The sequence below is a fragment of the Homo sapiens genome, chromosome 14, assembly GCF_000001405.40.
Source record: "Homo sapiens chromosome 14, GRCh38.p14 Primary Assembly".
Taxonomy (NCBI): Eukaryota; Metazoa; Chordata; class Mammalia; order Primates; family Hominidae; genus Homo; species Homo sapiens.
Genome location: NC_000014.9, coordinates 106799894 through 106821084, shown reverse-complemented (window position 1 = coordinate 106821084; position 21191 = coordinate 106799894). Strand labels below are relative to the sequence as shown.

General features: G+C 40.2%; 2 gene segments (V, D, J or C) and 1 further gene; all 3 read left to right on the top strand.

The window, feature by feature from the left end:
- The window catches only part of IGH (immunoglobulin heavy locus), a 1293408-nt gene that overhangs the window by 58760 nt on the left and 1213457 nt on the right, over positions 1–21191 (top strand).
- IGHV3-74 (immunoglobulin heavy variable 3-74) lies at positions 10190–10645 on the top strand. The segment is given in 2 exon segments: positions 10190–10235; positions 10339–10645. Coding segments are annotated over 2 exon segments (353 nt in total), but the record flags the coding sequence as incomplete, so codon positions are not given.
- Positions 17932–18393, top strand: IGHV3-73 (immunoglobulin heavy variable 3-73). The segment is given in 2 exon segments: positions 17932–17977; positions 18081–18393. Coding segments are annotated over 2 exon segments (359 nt in total), but the record flags the coding sequence as incomplete, so codon positions are not given.

Sequence of the window (21191 nt, the reverse complement as noted above, 5' to 3'; positions counted from 1 at the left end):
TGCAATTAATATAAGAGCACAGGTGTCTTTACAAGTTCATGATTTTATTTCCTTTCCCTGTATTTCCAGAGAAGCGTTTGCTGAGTCATATTGTATTTCCATTTTTGATTTATTTATGAGCTGCTATACTGTTTTTCATAATGGTGCAACTAAAAAATGGTGTAGTCATCATGAAAAACAGTTTTAGTTTTTGACATAATCCAAACACAATGTTTGAATCTGGTTATCTATAGGAGTTTCTAGTAAAATTGGTGAATGTAAATTAAAAAGCAGTAAGAAAAATCTGCAATTCAGAAATAGTGTACCCAGATGGTCTTTCTCTCCGAAATGAAAGAGAAATAAACTATTTCTCAGGTGAGATAAACTAAGATATTTTCTTCACACTTGACCAGTCATACAAGAAATATTCAAGGGAATTTTTGTATAAAAGCCAGCATATGAAAACCATCAGCTTGGAAAAAAACACACAAAACCTATATTTCAATGGTAGAAACAATTAAAAAAGGAGAAAAGAAACAAACATTATTACTACAAAACAACATCAAATCATAAAACCAAACAGAAAGAGAATAAACAAAGATAGAGATATATACATATATACAAACAATCATAAAACAATAAAGAAAATAATTTGAGTAAATACTTATAAATAATAACCTTATGTAATAAAATTCCTCAATTAAAAATACAGTATAAAAATTGATTTTATTAAAGTCCCAACTCTATGCTGCTTACAAGAGACTCAAATCATCTGAGAATCTACACACAGACTGAAAGTGAGTGGGTGGAAAAAAGATATGCTACAAAAATAGAAACCAACAGCACAAATAGCTCTACTTATATCAGACACAAATTTTAAGTCAAATGCTGTAAAGGGAGACCAAAATGGACATTATATAATAAAAAATGATCAATGTAGCAAGAATACGTAACAACTGTAAATATACATATATACATATATGTTATATATATGTAACAAGAACACATAATTGTATATATATACATATATACACACACACATATATACATATGTACCCACACCTGAGAACTCAAATATGTAAAGCAAATCTATTACATAGTAAGGGATAGATACTAACCTTATACAATTATAGTTGGAGAATTTAACACGTTATTTAGCATTGGATATGTTACCTAGCCAAAAATTAACAGACAAACATTGGATTTAAACTGCACTATATTCCAAATGGACCTGAATTTACAGACCATTGCACCAAACAACTTCAGAACACATATTCTTTTTTTTTTAAGAATTAAATGGATGTGTTTATTTATCTTTTTTTATTATTATTATACTTTAAGTTTTAGGGTACATGTGCACAATGTGCAGGTTAGTTACATATGTATACATGTGCCATGCTGGTGTGCTGCACCCATCAACTCGTCATTTAGCATTAGGTATATCTCCTAAAGCTATCCCTCCCCTCTCCCCCCACCCCACAACAGTCCCCAGAGTGTGATGTTCCCCTTCCTGTGTCCATGTGTTCTCATTGTTCAATTCCCACCTGTGAGTGAGAATATGTTTGGTTTTTTGTTCTTGCGATAGTTTACTGAGAATGATGATTTCCAGTTTCATCCATGTCCCTACAAAGGACATGAACTCATCATTTTTTGTGGCTGCATAGTATTCCATGGTGTATATGTGCCACATTTTCTTAATCCAGTCTATCATTGTTGGACATGTGAGTTGGTTCCAAGTCTTTGCTATTGTGAATAGTGCCGCAATAAACATACGTGTGCATGTGTCTTTATAGCAGCATGATTTATAGTCCTTTGGGTATATACCCAGTAATGGGATGGCTGGGTCAAATGGTATTTCCAGTTCTAGATCCCTGAGGAATGGCCACACTGACTTCCACAATGGTTGAACTAGTTTACAGTCCCACCAACAGTGTCAAAGTGTTCCTATTTCTCCACATCCTCTCCAGCACCTGTTGTTTCCTGACTTTTTAATGATTGCCATTCTAACTGGTGTGAGATGGTATCTCATTGTGGTTTTGATTCGCATTTCTCTGGTGGCCAGTGATGGTGAGCATTTTTTCATGCAGAACACATATTCTTTTCTTCAGCGCATGTGATACTCTTCAGAGTTGATCATATATTAATACAGAAAATGTATCAAAAAATTTAAATAAAATTATACCGACGTTTTATCTGACTAAGATAGAGTCAAAGATGGAATCAAACTAAACATCAGTAACTGGAGGAACTTCTTTTTTTTTTTTTTTTGAGATAGACTCTTTCTCTGTATCCCAGGCTGGAGTGCAGTGACAGAATCTCGGCTCACTACAACCTCCACCTTCCGAGTTCAAACCATTCTCCTGCCTCAGCCTCCTGATAAGCTGAAATTACAGGCACCTGCCACCACTCCTGGCTAATTTTGGTATGTTTAGTAGAGAGGGGGTTTCACCATGTTGGCCAGGCTGGTCTTGAAATCCTGACCTAAAGTCATCCACCAGCCTCGGCCTCCAAAGTGCCGGGACTACAGGCATGAGCCACCACCCAGCCTGGAGAAAATTTCAAAAAAATATAAACACAAAAATTAAACAAATCACTCTTACATGGCCAATGGGTGAAAGAAGACATTAAGAAGAAAATAAAAAATGTATGAAACAAACAAAGAAACACAACATACCAAATCTTATGGCGTTTAGTCAAATCACTATTATGAGGCAAGTTTAGAGCAATAAATGCCCACATCAAAAAGTAGAAATATCTTAATTAATCAAAATAACAATGCATGTTAGAGAACTTGAAGAACAAGAAAAAGCTAAATTCAAAATTATTTTTAAAAACAATAAAGAGCAGATTAGATATAAATGGAATTAAGACTAAAAATACCAGAAAATATTAAAATAGCAATAGTCTTTTTAAAAAAGATAAGCAAAATTGAAAGCCATTAGCTGGGCTAACAAAAAAAATATAAAGAGCTAAGACATGAATAAATGAGGTAGAAACAGAAGATGTCTCAACTGATATCCCAGAATTAAAATAAATTAGGAAATACTATAATAAATTATGTGATAAATGTGAAAACCTAGAGGAATTGGATACATTCCTGGCCATATACTACCTGACAAGATTGAAAAAGGAAAAAATAGAAAGCCTTAACAGACCAATAAAAAGTAATGAGAGGGACTCACTTAAAAAATCTATATCCTATTGAACATAAATAAAAAAACCCAAATTACTAGCACAGCAAATCAAACAGCATTTAAATACTAATACTAATACTAATACAGCATGACAAAGTAGAATTCAACCCAGGGATTCAATTATGCTTTAATATACACAAGTGAATAAACATGATATATCACGTATATACGACAAGGATGAAAAACATATTTTTACTTTAATAGATGCAGAATAAGTACTTTATAAAACTCAAAACCTCTTCATGAAAAAAACTCTCAATTATGTGTAGAAAGAACAACACAATAAGACCACATGACAAGTTCATAGCTAACATCATACTTAACAGAAAAAAAGTTTAATGCTTTTCTTCTGAAAACTGGAAAAGACAAGGAAGCCAACTCTCAGCACTTATTCAACACAGTACTGAAGGTACTAGCCAGAGCAGTTAGACAAGAGAAAGAAATAAAGGGGATTACAATTAGAAAAAAGGTAGCCAAATTACCTCTAATTTCAGATGACATAATCATATATATACTAAAGACTCTTGTAAATGCTCTTAGAGCTGATGAATTTAGTAAAGTTTCAAGATACAATATCAACATAGAAATCTCAGTGGGGTTTCTATACACAAACAATAAACTAGGTAAAAAAAATCAAGAAATCCCATTTTCAGTAACTACAAAAACTATTAAACACCTAGGAATACATTTCACCAAGGAGGTGAAAATCCGTAAATGAACAAACTATGAAACACTGATATAATTAATTGAATGAGACAAACACAAAATAAGAAGGACAATCTGTATTCATGAACTGGAATAATTTATATTGTTAGAATGACCATAATGCACATGACAATCTACATATTCAATGTCATCTCTATGAAAATACCAATGGCATTATTCACAGAAATATTAAAAAGCATTATTAAAATTTGTATACAATTGAAAATACCCCAAATGACTAATGCAGTCTTGTGGATAAAAAACAGAGGTGGAGGTATTAACAACCAGATTTCAAAAAAAATTATAAAACTGTAATAACAAAAACAGCGTAGTGCTGGCATAAAAATCCATGGAAAAAAGTAGAGAAACCAAGACATTAATCCATATATTTATAGATAACTTATTTGCAACAGAGGCACCAAAAATATTTATTGTGAAAAGAAAAGTATCCTCAGTAAATTGTGTAGGGAAAAACTGAATATCCATATGCAGATGAATGAACTTACATTCCCACATTTAACTGTATATAAAAATGAAATAAAAATAAGTTAAATACTCAAATGGAAGACCCAAAACTATAAAGCTGCTCTTAAAAACTTAGAAATAATGCTTCATGAAATCTGTCTGGAAAACAATTTTATAAATAAGACCTCAAAAGTACAGTCAACTAAATAAAACACAAACGAATTAAATTTTATCAAACTAAACAGTGTTTACACAGTAAAATAATCCAAATATTGAATAGATAACATAAAAGTGGTAAAATGTATTTTAAACTATTAATTAAACAGGCTATTAATATCCAGAATATACCAGAAAAATAAATGTCTCAACCACAAAAATATAAATAATCTTATTTTATAACAGACAATTAACCCAAATAAGCAGACGTTTCTCAAAGAAACACATACAAGATGCCAGAAAATATTTGAGAAAAAATGCTCACCATCGCTAATAATCAGGAAAGCACAAATTTAAACTACAATGAAATATTATCTCACCCCAGACAGAATAGCCATATTCAAATACATAAAAATAGTGCTAATGTGGATGAAGATAAAATGGGACATGTATACACTGTTGATGAGAATGTACACTCATACAGCCACTATGGAGAGACGTATAGAAGTTAGTAAAACCACAAATGCAACAATCATATGATACAGAAATTTTACGACTGAACATTTGTCCCAAGGACAGGAAATTAATATATTGAAGAGGAAAATCAATATTTTGATGAGATTTCTTCACTCCCATGTTTATTGCAGCCCTGTTCACAGTAGCCAAGTAATTGAATCAACCGAAGTGTTCAATATAAGGTGAGTAGAGAAAGATGATGTGGAATATGTACATAATGGAATTCTACACAGCCATGAAAGATTAAATTGTGTCACTCATAGAAACTTGCATGTAACATATAAGACTCTATGTTAATTGAAAGAGCCAGGAACAGAAAGCTAAACACCACATGTTTTCACTCCCATAAAATAGTCAAGAAATATCCATAAAACATAAATAATTGAAATTGGACATGAACTATAGAAACAATAATTGTCACCTGAATATTTATTTTCCTTCAAATAATATATAATTCAATGATAGTAAGAAGAGTCCTGATAAATAAATCATGTTGAGATAAAGAGCTACTGAATTGTGCATTCCACACTAAATGGAAACAATGCCATAAGATCCAGTGTTGTGTAGGATCTGTTTACCTTTTTACCTCAAATACTACAAGTCACTCCCTTGTTCTAATCACCCCGCAAAACTGATATTTTGTTGCTTTATGTTATGTCAGTAAAAATGATTCCACATTGGAAGCTTCATGTGTTGCTCAGAAATCACCCTGTTGATAAAATGAGCACAACTACAGTTACAACCTTTCTGTAGATATTTTCTGCATATGATCCTCACTTTTTATTTGTTGTTTTTGTTCACAGTTTCTTTAAGCACTCAGAGTTATATAGCATATTTTCAGCATATTTTAATTATTTTCCATTGTTATGGTCAGTGCTCCTGTGGGCTCAAGAGTCAGGTGTTGTGTGACTGCCAGTTGACTTCACTGCCACCTTTACCTACACAAAACACTGCAAGATGAACCATGATGTGTAAGAACCCATCCACAAAGTGCTTCAAATAAAGACAAGGTGACTTGTGTATAGATTTAGTGAGACTGGGGAACAGTTCACGGTGTTATGTTACAGAGGAGCAGAAAGGTGAATCTCTCTCGGAGTTATTGAGGGTGTAAGAGCTGCAGTTTTGGAGGGTGGTGAAAGGCACTTTTGAGTGGGAAGCCCTAGAGCATGTGTGAAAGCTGAAGGAATGATCACCATGCACATGGACGCTGATGAGGCATGTGGTAAGGTCCATTCCCTCCAGATGTTCCTGGATGGGCGGTTGTAGGATGGCTCATGTATATGAAAATGTGGGCAGGGCTGAAATAGGAACAAGGCCATCATCCCACGGGAATGCGAGAAAGCAAAACAGAGATGGACACCCATGAAGAGAGCTCATTAGACCTGGTGAAGGAAAGATAGGAATCTCTTCCAAAGGCTCCGCTGTTCTTGGCTAAATATGAATTGTGGTGATAGACTGAAAATAAGGAGGGGAAGGGAGATATGACTCAAGAGAGGAAAAACCCTAAGACAGCATAAACCAAATCTACACAGAACAATCACATGGTAGATGCCAGGGTGGGGCTGAAACAGGAGCTTCAATCTACTGGGTACCTAGTTGAGATCCTTTGACATTTCTTGTGAGGTAATTCTAGTGATGATGAATTTCCTCAGTTTTCCTTTGTCTGGGAAGTATTTCTCTATCCTTCATTTCATAAGAGATGTTTTATCAATTTTAGGTTCTTGGTTGGCTGCTTTTTCCCCCCAGAAATTTAAATCCAGTTATTTGCTGCATAACAAAGTTTCTGCCAGTAACAGATGGTGGTTCCACGGTGCTATACTTCCTTACTTATCTATATCTCTTTATGTTTAGATACACAAATAATTACTACTATGTTTCCATGGCCAACAGTATTCACTACGGTTGTTTCTGAGTCACTGGGGTGTTGCTTTTTCTGGCCAGAACCCTCTGTGGCCAGTGGCACTTTTGCCTGAGTTCTTGTCCTACATGTGGAAAGAATGAAGTATGCAGCCATGTGGAGGGTAAGCAAGACAAAGCCTAGCTTCATTAAGCATTAGAGCATCTCAGAGGAGACCCCCAGTGAGTAGCTCCTCTCTGTAGGCAGGTAGACTGGTTGAGTGTTCAGCTCTAAGCAGAGAGGGTAGCTCCTCCCTGCAGCCGGTCGTCCTGTGGTCTTCCCAGTTCTCAGGAGAGAGGGTAGCTCCTCCCTGCAGCTGGTCGTCCTGTGGTCTTCCCATTTCTCAGGAGAGAGGGTAGCTCCTCCCTGCAGCTGGTCGTCCTGTCGTCTCTCCATCCTCTGTCCTGCTCCAGCTGAGGCCAGGGGTTTTTACGGACCTCCGAGGGGAGGAAGTGCAAGCCCATTGGTCCATGGGTGCTCATGGGTGGGCCGTAGGAAGCACCACAAGTCCCGACTCTGGTCTGAGGATCTGGGAGCCCCGGCCCAGCCTTCAGGCCCTTCCTGGGGACCCGCCCCTGTGCACAGGAATCTTCCTGCCTCCTGTTGTAGTTCATGGTCCCTGGGGCTCCGCCCTGACTTTGCTCCAAGATCAGAGCAGGCACCAGCAGCAGGAAGAAGCCAGGAAGTGGGAGCAGGCACTTCGGAGCATGCAAGAGCACAGGGCTTTTCCTGGGGACCCCAAGAGTGCAGGGGCGCCTGAGGCCGCAGCCCCCGGTTTGCGGAGCAGGGCTTCTGCCGGCTTCATGGAGCGAGAGGCCCGTGTCTTCAGCCGCAGTTTGGGAGGCTGCAGCCACAGCCGGGGAGGCAGGGCTCCTTCCTGTTCCTCGACCTCCAAGAGCACAGAGTCCGAGCCCACTGCCCTGGTTTGCGCAGCTGGAGCCGCACCTGAGAGATGAGAGCTGCTGCCTGCTCCTGGCTCCCACCGGCTCCGAGGAGCATCAGCCCCTCCACCCCTCCTTGCAGCCTGGGCAGGGGCTCCTGATCCTCTCTGGGCCCTGGCCGGCGTCCAGGGCAGGAGTGACATCTCCACAAGCTCCCCGCATTGCCCCGGTGCTCAGGGAGGCCCGGGCAGAGCTGATGACGACCCCGGCCCGTAGTCGGGAGTGGCGGCCTCCATGGTCACCCTGACATGCGGCTGAACCCTGGGGACGCGGCCCAAGCAGCCTGCACAGAACCTCCCAAGGCCCAGGAACCCCGCACCCTAGGCGGGGTGGGCACAGCGGCTGCTCCGCTGCCCGGGTTTTCAAGGAGGCGCCACTTCCACTTCCCTCCCTGGAACCCCGAAGTTTGACATGGGGGCTCCTTTCTGCCTTGCTCCGCAGCTCCCCTTCCCCCGGAGTGGAGCCCCCTGTTTCCCTGGCGTTCCCTCCCACAGCTGCAGTGTTCTCCATCGGTGTCATCACCTTCCAGCTCTGCTGCCCTGCTCTGCAGACTAAGGCTCTGATTCCGTAAGAGAGGGGAGCTGCTTCCCAGTAGAACCTTGCTGGGGAGCTCTGTTCCCATCTCAGTTCCTGAGGGGTTAAACCAGTGCATTTAGGATACTGGTTTTGGTGGTTTGCCCCTGTTGAGTAATTTCTTAGTTCTCTAGTGGGTGTAAGAGACTTGGCTCTGGAAGCATTTCAGAAGTGTGGGCTCTGATACACCCCAGACAGACACTTTGGGAAGGGAAGATTTTTGTGACTATTCTCATTATAAGGGAAAGGCATTCAAAAGAATAGAAAAACTCTCCAGTATGTGGTTCCTGAGAATTTCTCACTAAAAACATGCTTATCACACTCGACTCAAAACAGTTCAATGTATATTAGTGTATTTTATCTTGTACTAGCCTTTATTGCATTTGGTGAACTCTGCCCCAGTTCAGCTCATACTCTAGCTTTGATTCTCCCTACAAAAACTTGTCTCTCTCTAGATTTCAGATTTGTTGATTGTCTTAAAATTTCAATGATCTGAAGTATTAAAGAAAATTTGCAAAAGTCCATTTTCTCTGATTAACAGTTATTGTTGATTTTATTCTTGTTGTAAAAAAAAGAAATTCTCATCTATGTACATTTCAAACCTGAATAACAAAATTTTTATTAACACCAAAAATAATAAAAGAATCCAAATATTTATCAGCTGCCTAATAGAAAAACAAATCATGGTAACATTGTTCGCTGGAATATTACCCATCATTCATAATAAGGGAATGTCTGATACACAAAATAAGAAGATAAAATTATCAAGTATTTAAATTGAGTAAAATAAGCCAAACAAATAAGAGTATGTATGATTCTATTTTTAAAAATTCTGGAAAATGAAAACTGATCTAAAGTAATATAAAGAAGATTAGTAGTTTCCTGGGAATATGTTGGCAGAAGGGAAGGAGAAAGGATAAGGAAATAGAAATAGGAAGTAGAAGGACAGAAAAGAAGTTGAGGGAATTTCACTTGTCCACCTTCCTTATAATGGTAATAGTTATGCCATGATTATCAGTTTTACACTTTAAATATGTAAAGTTTATAATCTGTCAATCAAATCTTATAAAATGTATTATGAGGAAACAAGTTGAAAATTAGACAATGTAGGAGTGACAGAAAGATAGATATGAGTATGTTGAATGTCAGAGATACCTGAAAGTTTATCTACCTGAACCCTAGTTCTCTCCATAGTTTAAGGTAAACAGGAGAGTGCAGGAAAATCATCCATATTCTGATTAGGCAGTGGCTTCTGCAAACCACACTAGGCCTGGCCGGCTGTGTCCTGGAGTTGGCTAAGGGAGGAGTCAGGGCCAGTGGTGAGAAGTGCAGGCCCAGATACCAGAACTCACTCATCCCAGACATGAGCTCTTAGATACACAGAGAGCCCATCCATGTGTGGATTTATCTTACATCTGTAAGTAGAGAACATTGACTCTTACAGAACATAATTTACACACATAGGTAAATCTGAAATAAGGTGATCAGTGTGAAGATTTTATCACAGCACAGTTTCATAATAAGCACAATTTCTCAAATCCCATTGTTGTCACCCATCTTCCTCAGGACACTTTCATCTGCCCTGGGTCCTGCTCTTTCTTCAGGTGTCTCACCCCAGAGCTTGATATATAGTAGGAGACATGCAAATAGGGCCCTCACTCTGCTGAAGAAAACCAGCCCTGCAGCTCTGGGAGAGGAGCCCCAGCCCTGGGATTCCCAGCTGTTTCTGCTTGCTGATCAGGACTGCACACAGAGAACTCACCATGGAGTTTGGGCTGAGCTGGGTTTTCCTTGTTGCTATTTTAAAAGGTGATTCATGGAGAACTGGAGATATGGAGTGTGAATGGACATGAGTGAGATAAGCAGTGGATGTGTGTGGCAGTTTCTGACCAGGGTGTCTCTGTGTTTGCAGGTGTCCAGTGTGAGGTGCAGCTGGTGGAGTCCGGGGGAGGCTTAGTTCAGCCTGGGGGGTCCCTGAGACTCTCCTGTGCAGCCTCTGGATTCACCTTCAGTAGCTACTGGATGCACTGGGTCCGCCAAGCTCCAGGGAAGGGGCTGGTGTGGGTCTCACGTATTAATAGTGATGGGAGTAGCACAAGCTACGCGGACTCCGTGAAGGGCCGATTCACCATCTCCAGAGACAACGCCAAGAACACGCTGTATCTGCAAATGAACAGTCTGAGAGCCGAGGACACGGCTGTGTATTACTGTGCAAGAGACACAGTGAGGGGAAGTCAATGTGAGCCCAGACACAAACCTCGCTGCAGGGGCATCTGAGACCACGAGGGGGTGTCCTGGGCCCTGTGAACTGGGCTGCTCTCCGTGGCAGCGGCTGGTGGTGCTAAAGGCTGATTTTCTCTCAGCATCTGGGGCTGATTCATCAAGTTTCCTCAGAGAACCTTTCAGATTTACAATTCTGTACTTACGTTTAATGTCTCTGAATGTGACACTTTCCTTCCCTGGTGTGTCTTTGTTTTTGTGACAAGAGGACACATTCTCACCTCCACAGAAGCCCGAGTGTCACTTTGGGGACAGAAATGACCCTGCCCTGGTCACCAGAATCAGAGTCCCGAGGAAGCCCAGGAGGACCTGGGAAGTGTTTTTCAATCAGACTCAGGGCAGGCGTCTCCGTGGGAATCTCTGATTGGAACAGGCTTTGGGATTCAGATTGGGACCAAGAGGGAGGCTCACCCAGGGCCAGGGTCCTTAGAATCCTGACAGTTTTCACAGTAACCCCATCGTCCTTTAAAACTGAACATCTAACTCAGAACTGACCCATTTGGTCCTTTCTCTGTAATCCATTTTCCTTTTCTCTAGGCTTCATTCTTACACTTCCCTTTTCACCTTCATTCTGAAAATGGAGGGTGTGCTTCCTGTGGTCTAAACCACAGGCCTCAGATGCATTACCTGGAACTCAGGTGTGGCTCTGGCTATGGCTCCTGTGGACCTGGCAGGCTGAGGGATCTTTCTCATTCCCTGGTGCCTGCATGCCCCTGCTGTCTTCTATGCGTGGATGCATTTGGGAAATGCAAGTGGACACTCATAGTCGTTTCCTCAAATGGGATACTGTTGTAGAGCTGATCTTGTGCTTCTCACCCTGTCACAGAGCCCCCACTCTCACTTGTGGATTTTTGGGAGAGCTGAGGATGGACACTTTATTGGGCTGTGAGCTCTGCATGATGGCAATCGTGAGGTCTGGGTGGGCACAGCCAGAGCCAATGGAGCTGGCCAAAAGGAAAGACAGGACGGAATTCCTGGGAAGTCCTACAGCTGCTGTCTACCATAGAGTTCCATTGTCTTCTCCTCTGCTAGGATTAAACCAGACCGACCAAGTTCATCTAGGACAATCTTCCTGACCTAGAGAAGTGATGACAGGCTTTAATAACACCTGTATTATACATCAGAGCAACACCTAGATTAGTGTTTGATTGAATAATTGAGACTATGTCCTAGTCAAGGTGACACACAAAATCAATTATTACCATGATTAATATTTTATATTGATTAATATTTTAATACTAATATTAATCAATGCAATATTGATTTAATATTAATTAATATTTTATATTTGACAATAGAATCAGACTCATGTTATAAATAATTTTGCAAATATATGTATATTATTATTGGTCTTCTGAGCATAAATCTCCATTAGCCGATTAAGTGTGCATGCATTGGTCGAAGGAGGGCATCCACCCTTTTGAGGGAAAATGCATGGAGGGTAAATGAGGCTGGGAAGCTGATGGCATATGATGGAAGCCTGTCCCTGAGTGAAGGAGAGAGGGAGGCAGGATTGGGTGGAACTTTCCTACATTTCTGTGCTGTGCAAAGAAACTCCAGATTATCACTGAGTCTCCTGCAAGTCAAAGTTGCCCCTCAGGAAACCCCCATCACTCCCAGCAATGACTCTGCCCCAGATGAGTGCAAGGCTCACTCTATTCCTGAGAAAGGAGCACAGGATATGGGATTTAGCATGAGCCACGTCATGGACGTCAGAGAGCAGGAGCTGGGTGCATGATCCAAGTGCACTGTTCTGCCTGTAGGTGGAGAGAGGAAGGTGCATTCCCAGAGCTAACACACTGTGGATTTTTATACAGAATACACGTTTTCACCTGATTTATTGGAAGGCATATGAAAAAATGTGCAGTCCACAAACAATTGTAATTTCCAAATTTACCACAATTGCATTATTTCTTCATTCTGCATGATGTCCTGGAACAGAGTTACATTTTTCATGGGTATTGTTTCATGGATTGAGGACATGAATTTCACACCTGCCTTTTTAGCCATGTGCAGAGACCTTGAGTAGAGCATGTCTGGACCTCATCTACACTATCTCTCATGCCCCAAGGGAAAGAGTGGAGACTTGACTGACTGCAAACTTTGGGGTGGGAGCTGCTCCTGCACACCTCAGAGGCTGCAGAGACCCCAAGTGCAGTTTTATTGAGTTGGGGTGTCTTTCTATGTGGGGGAATTATGGGCTGCCCCACTCCTGGTGATTGCTGGTCAGCTCTAAAGACGGGTTCAGAATGAGGTCACCTGGTAACCTTTCTCACTGCAGCTCCATTATGTAAATTACCACTACCAGATTCCAGGTAATAATGCAAGCTCTATTTTTGCGACCTCATTTTCTTATCTTTTTTGTTCATAAGTTTGGTTATAGAAAATGTTACCACCTAGTTTCCTGATTCAAATCCTATAATTTGCTGAACTACTCAGGATGTTTTTTAATGTGCCCAGTATTTGGGAAATATAAATGAACAGCCATGTGTGGTTCACTGAGTGGACATAGTCAGTTAAGTACATTAGTAAAAACATGATTGCTGAATTGTATAGTGAAACTACAATTAGATTTGCAGAAAATTGCCTCCAGTAATGTCTGAAGGGAGAGCCACCCAGCCAATCCCGTCTCTGGGCTTGGAGGAAGCTCACTACACAGGCCAGGTCACATGGGTGATATCCAAGGTGCAGCTCCCAGCGTTACTGTGCTATTTTCCAGGAACCAGACATACAACTTGGCATCTCAGAAGAAGATCTCCAAGATTTCCTTTACCTGGACTTCATGGGCAGCACAGGACCAGCAGGAGATGCTCAGAACTCACCCAAGGCAGAACCCCAGGGAAGAGCAGGTGCGGAGAGGAACCAGCCAGGGAACCTCTGACCACCATCTAGGGTTGCCTTCTTTTCCTTCACAGCATGGAGCCCTCAGGAGACCACCCACTAGGTTGTCTGTAACTCACGTCCTTCTTGTCTTGAAGCAAAACAGACATAAATATGAATTTGCAGTTAGCCCCTTGAACCTGGGTCAATTTTTTCTGAGAATGCCAACTTAATCGTCAACATCATGGGCATTATATCAAAATCGAGATGGATATTTAGTCACCAGGAAGACAGTTTGTCTCATGGTAGAAGTGCTTATTCAATTAAAAATTACATTTTAATGAAAAGGTCTCTAAGTGAGGACTGTTCAAATAATAAAGTATTAGTGAAGTATCAGAAAAATAAATGGCACCATTATCTTTGGTATCCAGTTAATCTATAAAGCATATCAATATTCATGTTGTAAGTGGCCTAGGACAAGTTATGGCAGTATTTAGGCTATAAGGAGACATTGCTTTCCTTCTTAGATAGGAATGTCCTTTTTTATCATACTTTAAGTTCTGGGGTACATGTGCAGAATGTGCATGTTTGTTACATAGGTATACAAGTGCCATGGTGGTTTGCTGCACTCATCAACCCGTCATCGACATTAGGTATTACTCCTAATGCTATCCCTCCCCTAGCCCCCCACCCCCCAACAGGCCCCAGTGTGTGATGTTCCCCTCCCTGTGTCCATGTGTTCTCATTCTTCAACTCCCACTTATGAGTGAGAACATGCAGTGTTTGGTTTTCTGTTCCTGTGTTAGTTTGCTGAGAATGATGGTTTCCAGCTTCATCAATGTCCCTGCAAAGGACATGAACAGGAAATTCCTTCTAAATGAACTGTGTTTTGACAAATATTATCCAGTGACTCTTCCTACATGGGGTTTCTACATGATCTATTTTTCTTTTCCAAAAACAAATCACTCAAGTTTCTCATCTCCTGAGTGAGAAAAATTTTCCCCAAACACAATCTCAGTCTAGGTAGACACCTTCATGAATGAGCCTTCATTCTCAGACAGGCACACACTGTCCCCATGTGGATGCTTCTCTCAGACAGGCACACATATCCCCACATGGTTGGGATCATCTGCTGGGACTTTGCCCCATGGGGATCTCTATTATCACTGGGGCAAGTTAGCACCTCGATCCTCATCCACACTGTGGCCTTTGATGTCTGTGACCTGCCACACCCTGTCTGTCCCTCAGTGTCTAGAATGGTGAAGTAGTCCACCCCAGGGATGGAGGAAGATCCCAGATTTTCCTGTGAAGGAGACAGAATGCCAATCACAGAGATGGAAATCTCTCACATCCCTCCTGGGTCATATTCTGGGCAGGGTCTCTGAAGTCACCCCTGGATCAGTGTCCTAAGATGTCTCCCTCTATTTCCTTGGGAAGAACCCATAGAAAGACAAATAAGTTTTTCTATTAGGGCATCGTAGAACTTGTGCTTTCTTGTGTGACAAATATAGGTATTTTGACTATTTTAAAAATTAGATATAATATTAAGTCTACCAAATATGTAAATATATAAGCTTTATAATGTATCCCTACAGGGATGTCTCCTGGAATTGAGAATTGAATATATATATATATATATATATATATATATATTCCAAGATAAATCTTGGTGAACATTATAAAATTGACTCTAATATTTATGTTCAAGATGATCATTTCAAAAAAGTTTTAACAACAGAGACCAGATGTATCTTTCCACCAGAAATAACTGTAAAACACAGTGAAATTTTTTAAACATGATTTTAAGGTATTTTACATCAAATAACAAGGACAGTGATTGCTGAGGTGGGGAAAATATACAAAAGGAGCCCTCTGATGAACGCATGCTTTGCTACTTTTTAAAGAGAGTTTCCAGGCCACAGTGCTGAAGAGGAACCAGGTAGATTTGAAGTTGAGGAAAAGGAGCTGAGATCCCAGACAGGCCAAGAAGTGTGGAGATCACAGACTAGACAGTGGATAGCAGAACACTGTTCAGAGAGTGAGCCCCGTAGATGGCCGGAGAGAGACCCAGCCTTGGTAGAGTGTGGATCAGTGTATGGGAACCCTGGAAAGTTGTACATGAGAACACACCTTACTCTAGGGGGCTTGCCTTAAAATCTAAAATTACCCTAAAATTTAAACATAATCAGTTACAAATTTTAAAACATAAAGAAAGACACCATGTTAAAGAAAGATAAAGGAAAGGTGGATTTGCAATATTAAAATATAAAAAGTGTATTTCTGAACAAATGATAATACTGATGAGGGGGGACAAGTTTATTCCATCACGGCAAATGATTTAAGAGAAGAACATTCCAAATGCTTATGGCCCTAATGAGGAAGCTTCAATCACGAATATAAATAGAGTTATCTCATTACCAGTGTGATGGTGTGAGAAACTTCAAGATTTCCAAAGAGACAACCTAATCTGGTAAAAATTATAGAAACCCAACCTGTACTATCAAGGAAAATTATTCTGAGAACACACAGTAAATGAAATCCATTGACTGACATAAAGTCCTCCTGTTGACTGAAGGGTTATGACCCCCCACAAGGCATATGTTGGAATCTCAACTCCATCGTGACGGTGGCAGGAGGTGGGGCCTTTGGTCTCCTTTGAAAGGTGTTGAGGCTCCGTTTCATGAATGGAATCAGCGTCCTGATACAATACCCCAGAGAGCTCCCTCTTTCCTTCCACCAGGTGTGGTCACAGTAGGAAGGTGGCAATCTATAAATAAAGAATTGGGACATCACCAGATACCAATCTTTAAGTCATCTTTATCTTGAACTTCCCAGCCTTGAAAATTGGGACAAATGCATTTATGTTATTTCTGAGCCACCCAGTCCATGATATCCTCTTATAGCAACTCAAACAGTCTTAGCAAGTGCAGTGAGGATCACAATACTTGAGAGAAGAGCATTACCTCTTCTTTACATCTCAGGATCACAGAATCTTGACCTTGGGCTGAACTGACAAGAAGGTGGTGCTTCCCTCTCCCCCAGATCTCAGTTGAGGTCATGATGTCAGATCTTTATGGTGGAGACTAAATTCCTGCCTGTGATTTGATGGATGCCTTTCTCCTCCCAGCCTCACTCACAAGACATAGTTTCCATGTCAGGTGTTATAGACCAAGAACAGGTGGACCCCGATTATTCTCACCCCAGCTCACTTGTAGGGCAGAGGTTCTGGGAGCTTCCTGGGAGAGGAACAGTGAGATCATACAAGTCCATCACTTCCATGCAGTTTTCTGTACTTAAAGCAGGAGTGTCCTTCTGAGCTGCTTGAACCCTTTCTTCTGCACCAAGGTAGAGACTGGCATGTTTTTCTAGTGATACAGTCAGGGCATAAAAACAGTGATAGAAAGCTCTCTCTAAAGGGCGTGACCAGATTTGCAGTAGAATGAGAATAGTTTCAACCCTAAAGTTCATCTAAAATGTTAGTGGTTTTCATGGTAAGTAATTAATAGAAACCTGACAGCTCCATGACAGCAATATAGAAATCAATAGTCCACTCATTTTAACAGAGAGAATTAGAAAACCTATAATTTAAGAATAACCAGCTGGGCACTGTGGCTCTGCCTGCAGTTGAATTTACTTGGGAGTTTGAGGTGAGAGGATCACTTGAGCCCAGGATTTCAAGCGCAGCCTGGAAACATAGCTAGACTTAATTTCTTGAAAAAAATCAGTGCTATTTTGGGGTCAGAACAATCCTCAAAAATGGTCCCCGGAAAGAAGCCCAAATTTAATTGCACCAGATTGTTGAACGATTTATGCTACAAAACAGTGTCACATGTCAGAAATGAGCACAGTGTAACATCTACATGGTTTGTTAAGAGACACAAATGGTCAAGTAGAACAATCAGGTAATTAGGCTGTCGAAGGCAACACTGCCAAATGACAGCATTTCCGTGGAAACTGCGTGTACATCCAGGACTGCACCTGTGAACGATGACATCATACCCTTCACAGTGTCGAGGAAAGAGACATCACTCAAACAGACAAGCCAAGGGACTTCAGAAAATATAAGGGGAAATACAGTGTGCAAATATGTAAAAAATGCAATAAGATGATTACTCCTAAATGAATATCAAGACACAATCACATAATATGAAATTAAATTTTCCTGAATGATAGGATTACTACCAATCACCCCCCAGGACACCCTCATCTACTCTGTGCACAGCCTTCTCGTCAGGCGTCCCAGCCCAGACCTTGCTATGTAGCAGAAGACATGCAAATAAGACCCCCCTTTTTGCTGATGAAAAGCAGCCCAGCCCTGACCCTGCAGCTCTGGGAGAGGAGCTCCAGCCTTGGGATTCCCAGCTGTCTCCACTCGGTGATCGGCACTGAATACAGGAGACTCACCATGGAGTTTGGGCTGAGCTGGGTTTTCCTTGTTGCTATTTTAAAAGGTGATTCATGGGGAACTAGAGATACTGAGTGTGAGTGGACATGAGTGAGAGAAACAGTGGACGTGTGTGGCACTTTCTGACCAGGGTGTCTCTGTGTTTGCAGGTGTCCAGTGTGAGGTGCAGCTGGTGGAGTCCGGGGGAGGCTTGGTCCAGCCTGGGGGGTCCCTGAAACTCTCCTGTGCAGCCTCTGGGTTCACCTTCAGTGGCTCTGCTATGCACTGGGTCCGCCAGGCTTCCGGGAAAGGGCTGGAGTGGGTTGGCCGTATTAGAAGCAAAGCTAACAGTTACGCGACAGCATATGCTGCGTCGGTGAAAGGCAGGTTCACCATCTCCAGAGATGATTCAAAGAACACGGCGTATCTGCAAATGAACAGCCTGAAAACCGAGGACACGGCCGTGTATTACTGTACTAGACACACAGTGAGGGGAGGTCAGTGTGAGCCCGGACACAAACCTCCCTGCAGGGGCGCGCGGGGCTACCAGGGGGCGCTCGGGACTCACTGAGGGCGGGACAGGTCCCAGGAACAGGTGCAGCGGTAGGTTTTCTTTCTCCTCAGCTGGAGAAGTCAGGTTTGTGTTTTCAGAACTCTGGAGTCTTACAGGTTGCTACATTTTCATACAGTTATTAGTATGTATTTATTATCATTGGTATTTAAGTTTTAATAATTTTAAACCTTTTATGTAGTGTTATTTTTTAAAACTGTTTACTTTCATTTGCAGTTATTCTTCCAGAGTTTCATTAACATCTATTGCTATGAGCAACTACATAGCTATGAGAGCATAAATTTACACCTGTAGACGTAGGTCTAAATGCCACAAACCTGTGCATAAATGTATAGTGACTTATATTTAACATTATAATAAGATAATTTTTAAAATATATCCTAAACGATCAAACTTACTGATGAACTAAATATAAATTATCAGAGTAATGCATAATTGATTTCAATAATTTTATATTGTTTATATTAATTAATATCTATTTCTTTACTGAAACATAATATATTGGTCATTTCAAAATAGCTACGATACATTTCAAATGGCCTTGATGCTAATAATGAAAAGATTTTGAGGTGATTAATATGCTAATTAGTTATATTTAATTATTCCATATTGTATTAATATATCAAAACATTGCTTTGTACCTCATAAATAGATACAGTCGTAATTTGTCAATTTTCAAGACAGTTATTTAATCCATCCTGGGTCATAATCTTTTTTTCCCCTGTCCATGGCTGATTGGATTGTCCTGATAAACCCATCCATACGCCTGCCTCCCGCAGGCTTCTGAGACGGGCTCCATGAAGGCCAGAAGCAGGCACCCTGTGAGAGTCCACACGACCTGGAGCCTCCCTCTCCTTGGATTAGGCCATCTCCTCGGGATCGCAGGGCTCTTCATTATCCTCACCCCCTTGTTGTACCAAACAAGCAACATCACACTTTAATTCATCACGCTTTGCTTTAATTTTCCCCCCAAAAATCAAGGTAATAATTTTAGCAATAAACATCACAACCTACTATGAGTAAGTCCTTTCCAACGTACTAAGGTTTCTTCTGAGGACTTTACATGTATTACACAGTTTAAATTTCTTTATGAAATGAGATACCAATATCTCTATATTAGAGATTGTTTTTCTAAGTCGTTTCTGACAATTAATTTGTCCAAGGGCCTGTAAGGATTCTGTTAGAAATCCAGGATAAAATTTGAAATTTCAGCAGTAATATCTGGAAAAACATTGAGACTATATTTAACTTCGTACACGTGCTCTCAAATATCCTTATTTCCCTAAAGGTTGTTCTCAGTTATTATTTTACACATGATATCTATAATTAATACTAATAACACAGGTTAAAATATTATCTCAATTATTTAACGACTTTTGATAATAACAAAATACATATTCCACATATTTTTGACCAGTTTGTTTTCTCTATGAAACACGTGTTTATTAACTTATTATTATCAGATGTCACCCTTATCTTTCTGATTTCTGGGATTTAATTCTAGCAGGTATCGTTTAGTATATTTTATTAATTCATATTATATTGTTCACATTTTCAGTATGATTTTATTATTTGCATTGTTTATTGAATTTGAAACTTTCTTACATAATTTTTTAAATTTTTTATTTTCATGAGATGTAATTTCAATATAAGTAATAATGCATAGATCTGCAATGTACCATTACAGGATTTCTGGCAAATGTAAACACACTTGTCCCCAACAGCCAAGGTTGGATGTAGAGGAGGCCCATTCCCCCAGCACAAGCGACCTTCTCTGTGCTTCCAGTCAGCTCCCACATTTAACACAATGTTTTGATTTCTGCCACTGTAGATTCACTGTTCATGTTTTGATTTTCATATAAATGGATTCAAACATTATAGACCCCTTTTCTGGTAAGGGGCTACTTTTGTTATTTTTGACGTTTATTTATGCTATTTCATATGTAAAATTGCATCTGTATATTGTCATTTATTCACTTAACAGACTGCCTCTGATATAAAATCTCAAAGTTTTGATATATATGGATAAAGAGAGAGGGAGAGAGAGAGAGGGAGAAATTTTATACTTGAGTCAGTGCATTTAACAATAAACGACAGTAAGCTGATCCATTTCCCTGTCAATGCACTTTTAATTTGTTTCTGGTTTATTAACATCATAAGCAAAGCTGCTGCACATATTTTTTGTTTTTCTATTTACCTTTTCTCATTTTTATTGAGAAAGTATGTGGAAATATCCATTTCTTCATCATAAAAGTAAACTTCATTTGTTCAGCTTTATGGAACTATAATTGACAATAAAATTGTATATATTTGAGGTGCACCACTTGATATTTTGGTATAAATTGTGAAATTTTCACTATGACCAAGGAGTTAGCATGTCTGTTACCCTACATTTGCCATTTTCTTCCTTTAATTTATATGTGTGTGTCCAATGAGAGCACCTGAGATCTATCCCTTTACCAGAGATCAAGTTTGCAATACAGTGTTGATAGCTATAGTCCCATTGCTTTACATTAGACCTCCAGAACCCATTCAACCTGCACAACTGAAACTTTATGCCCTTGACAAGAATCATTCTATTTCCACTCCTCCCAGCCCTGGGAACCACTTTTCTACTCTCTGCTTCTAAGAATTTGAATATTTTAGATTCCCCATATAAATGAGATAATGCAGCATTTGTCTTTCTGTGTCTGGCTTATTCCACTTAGCA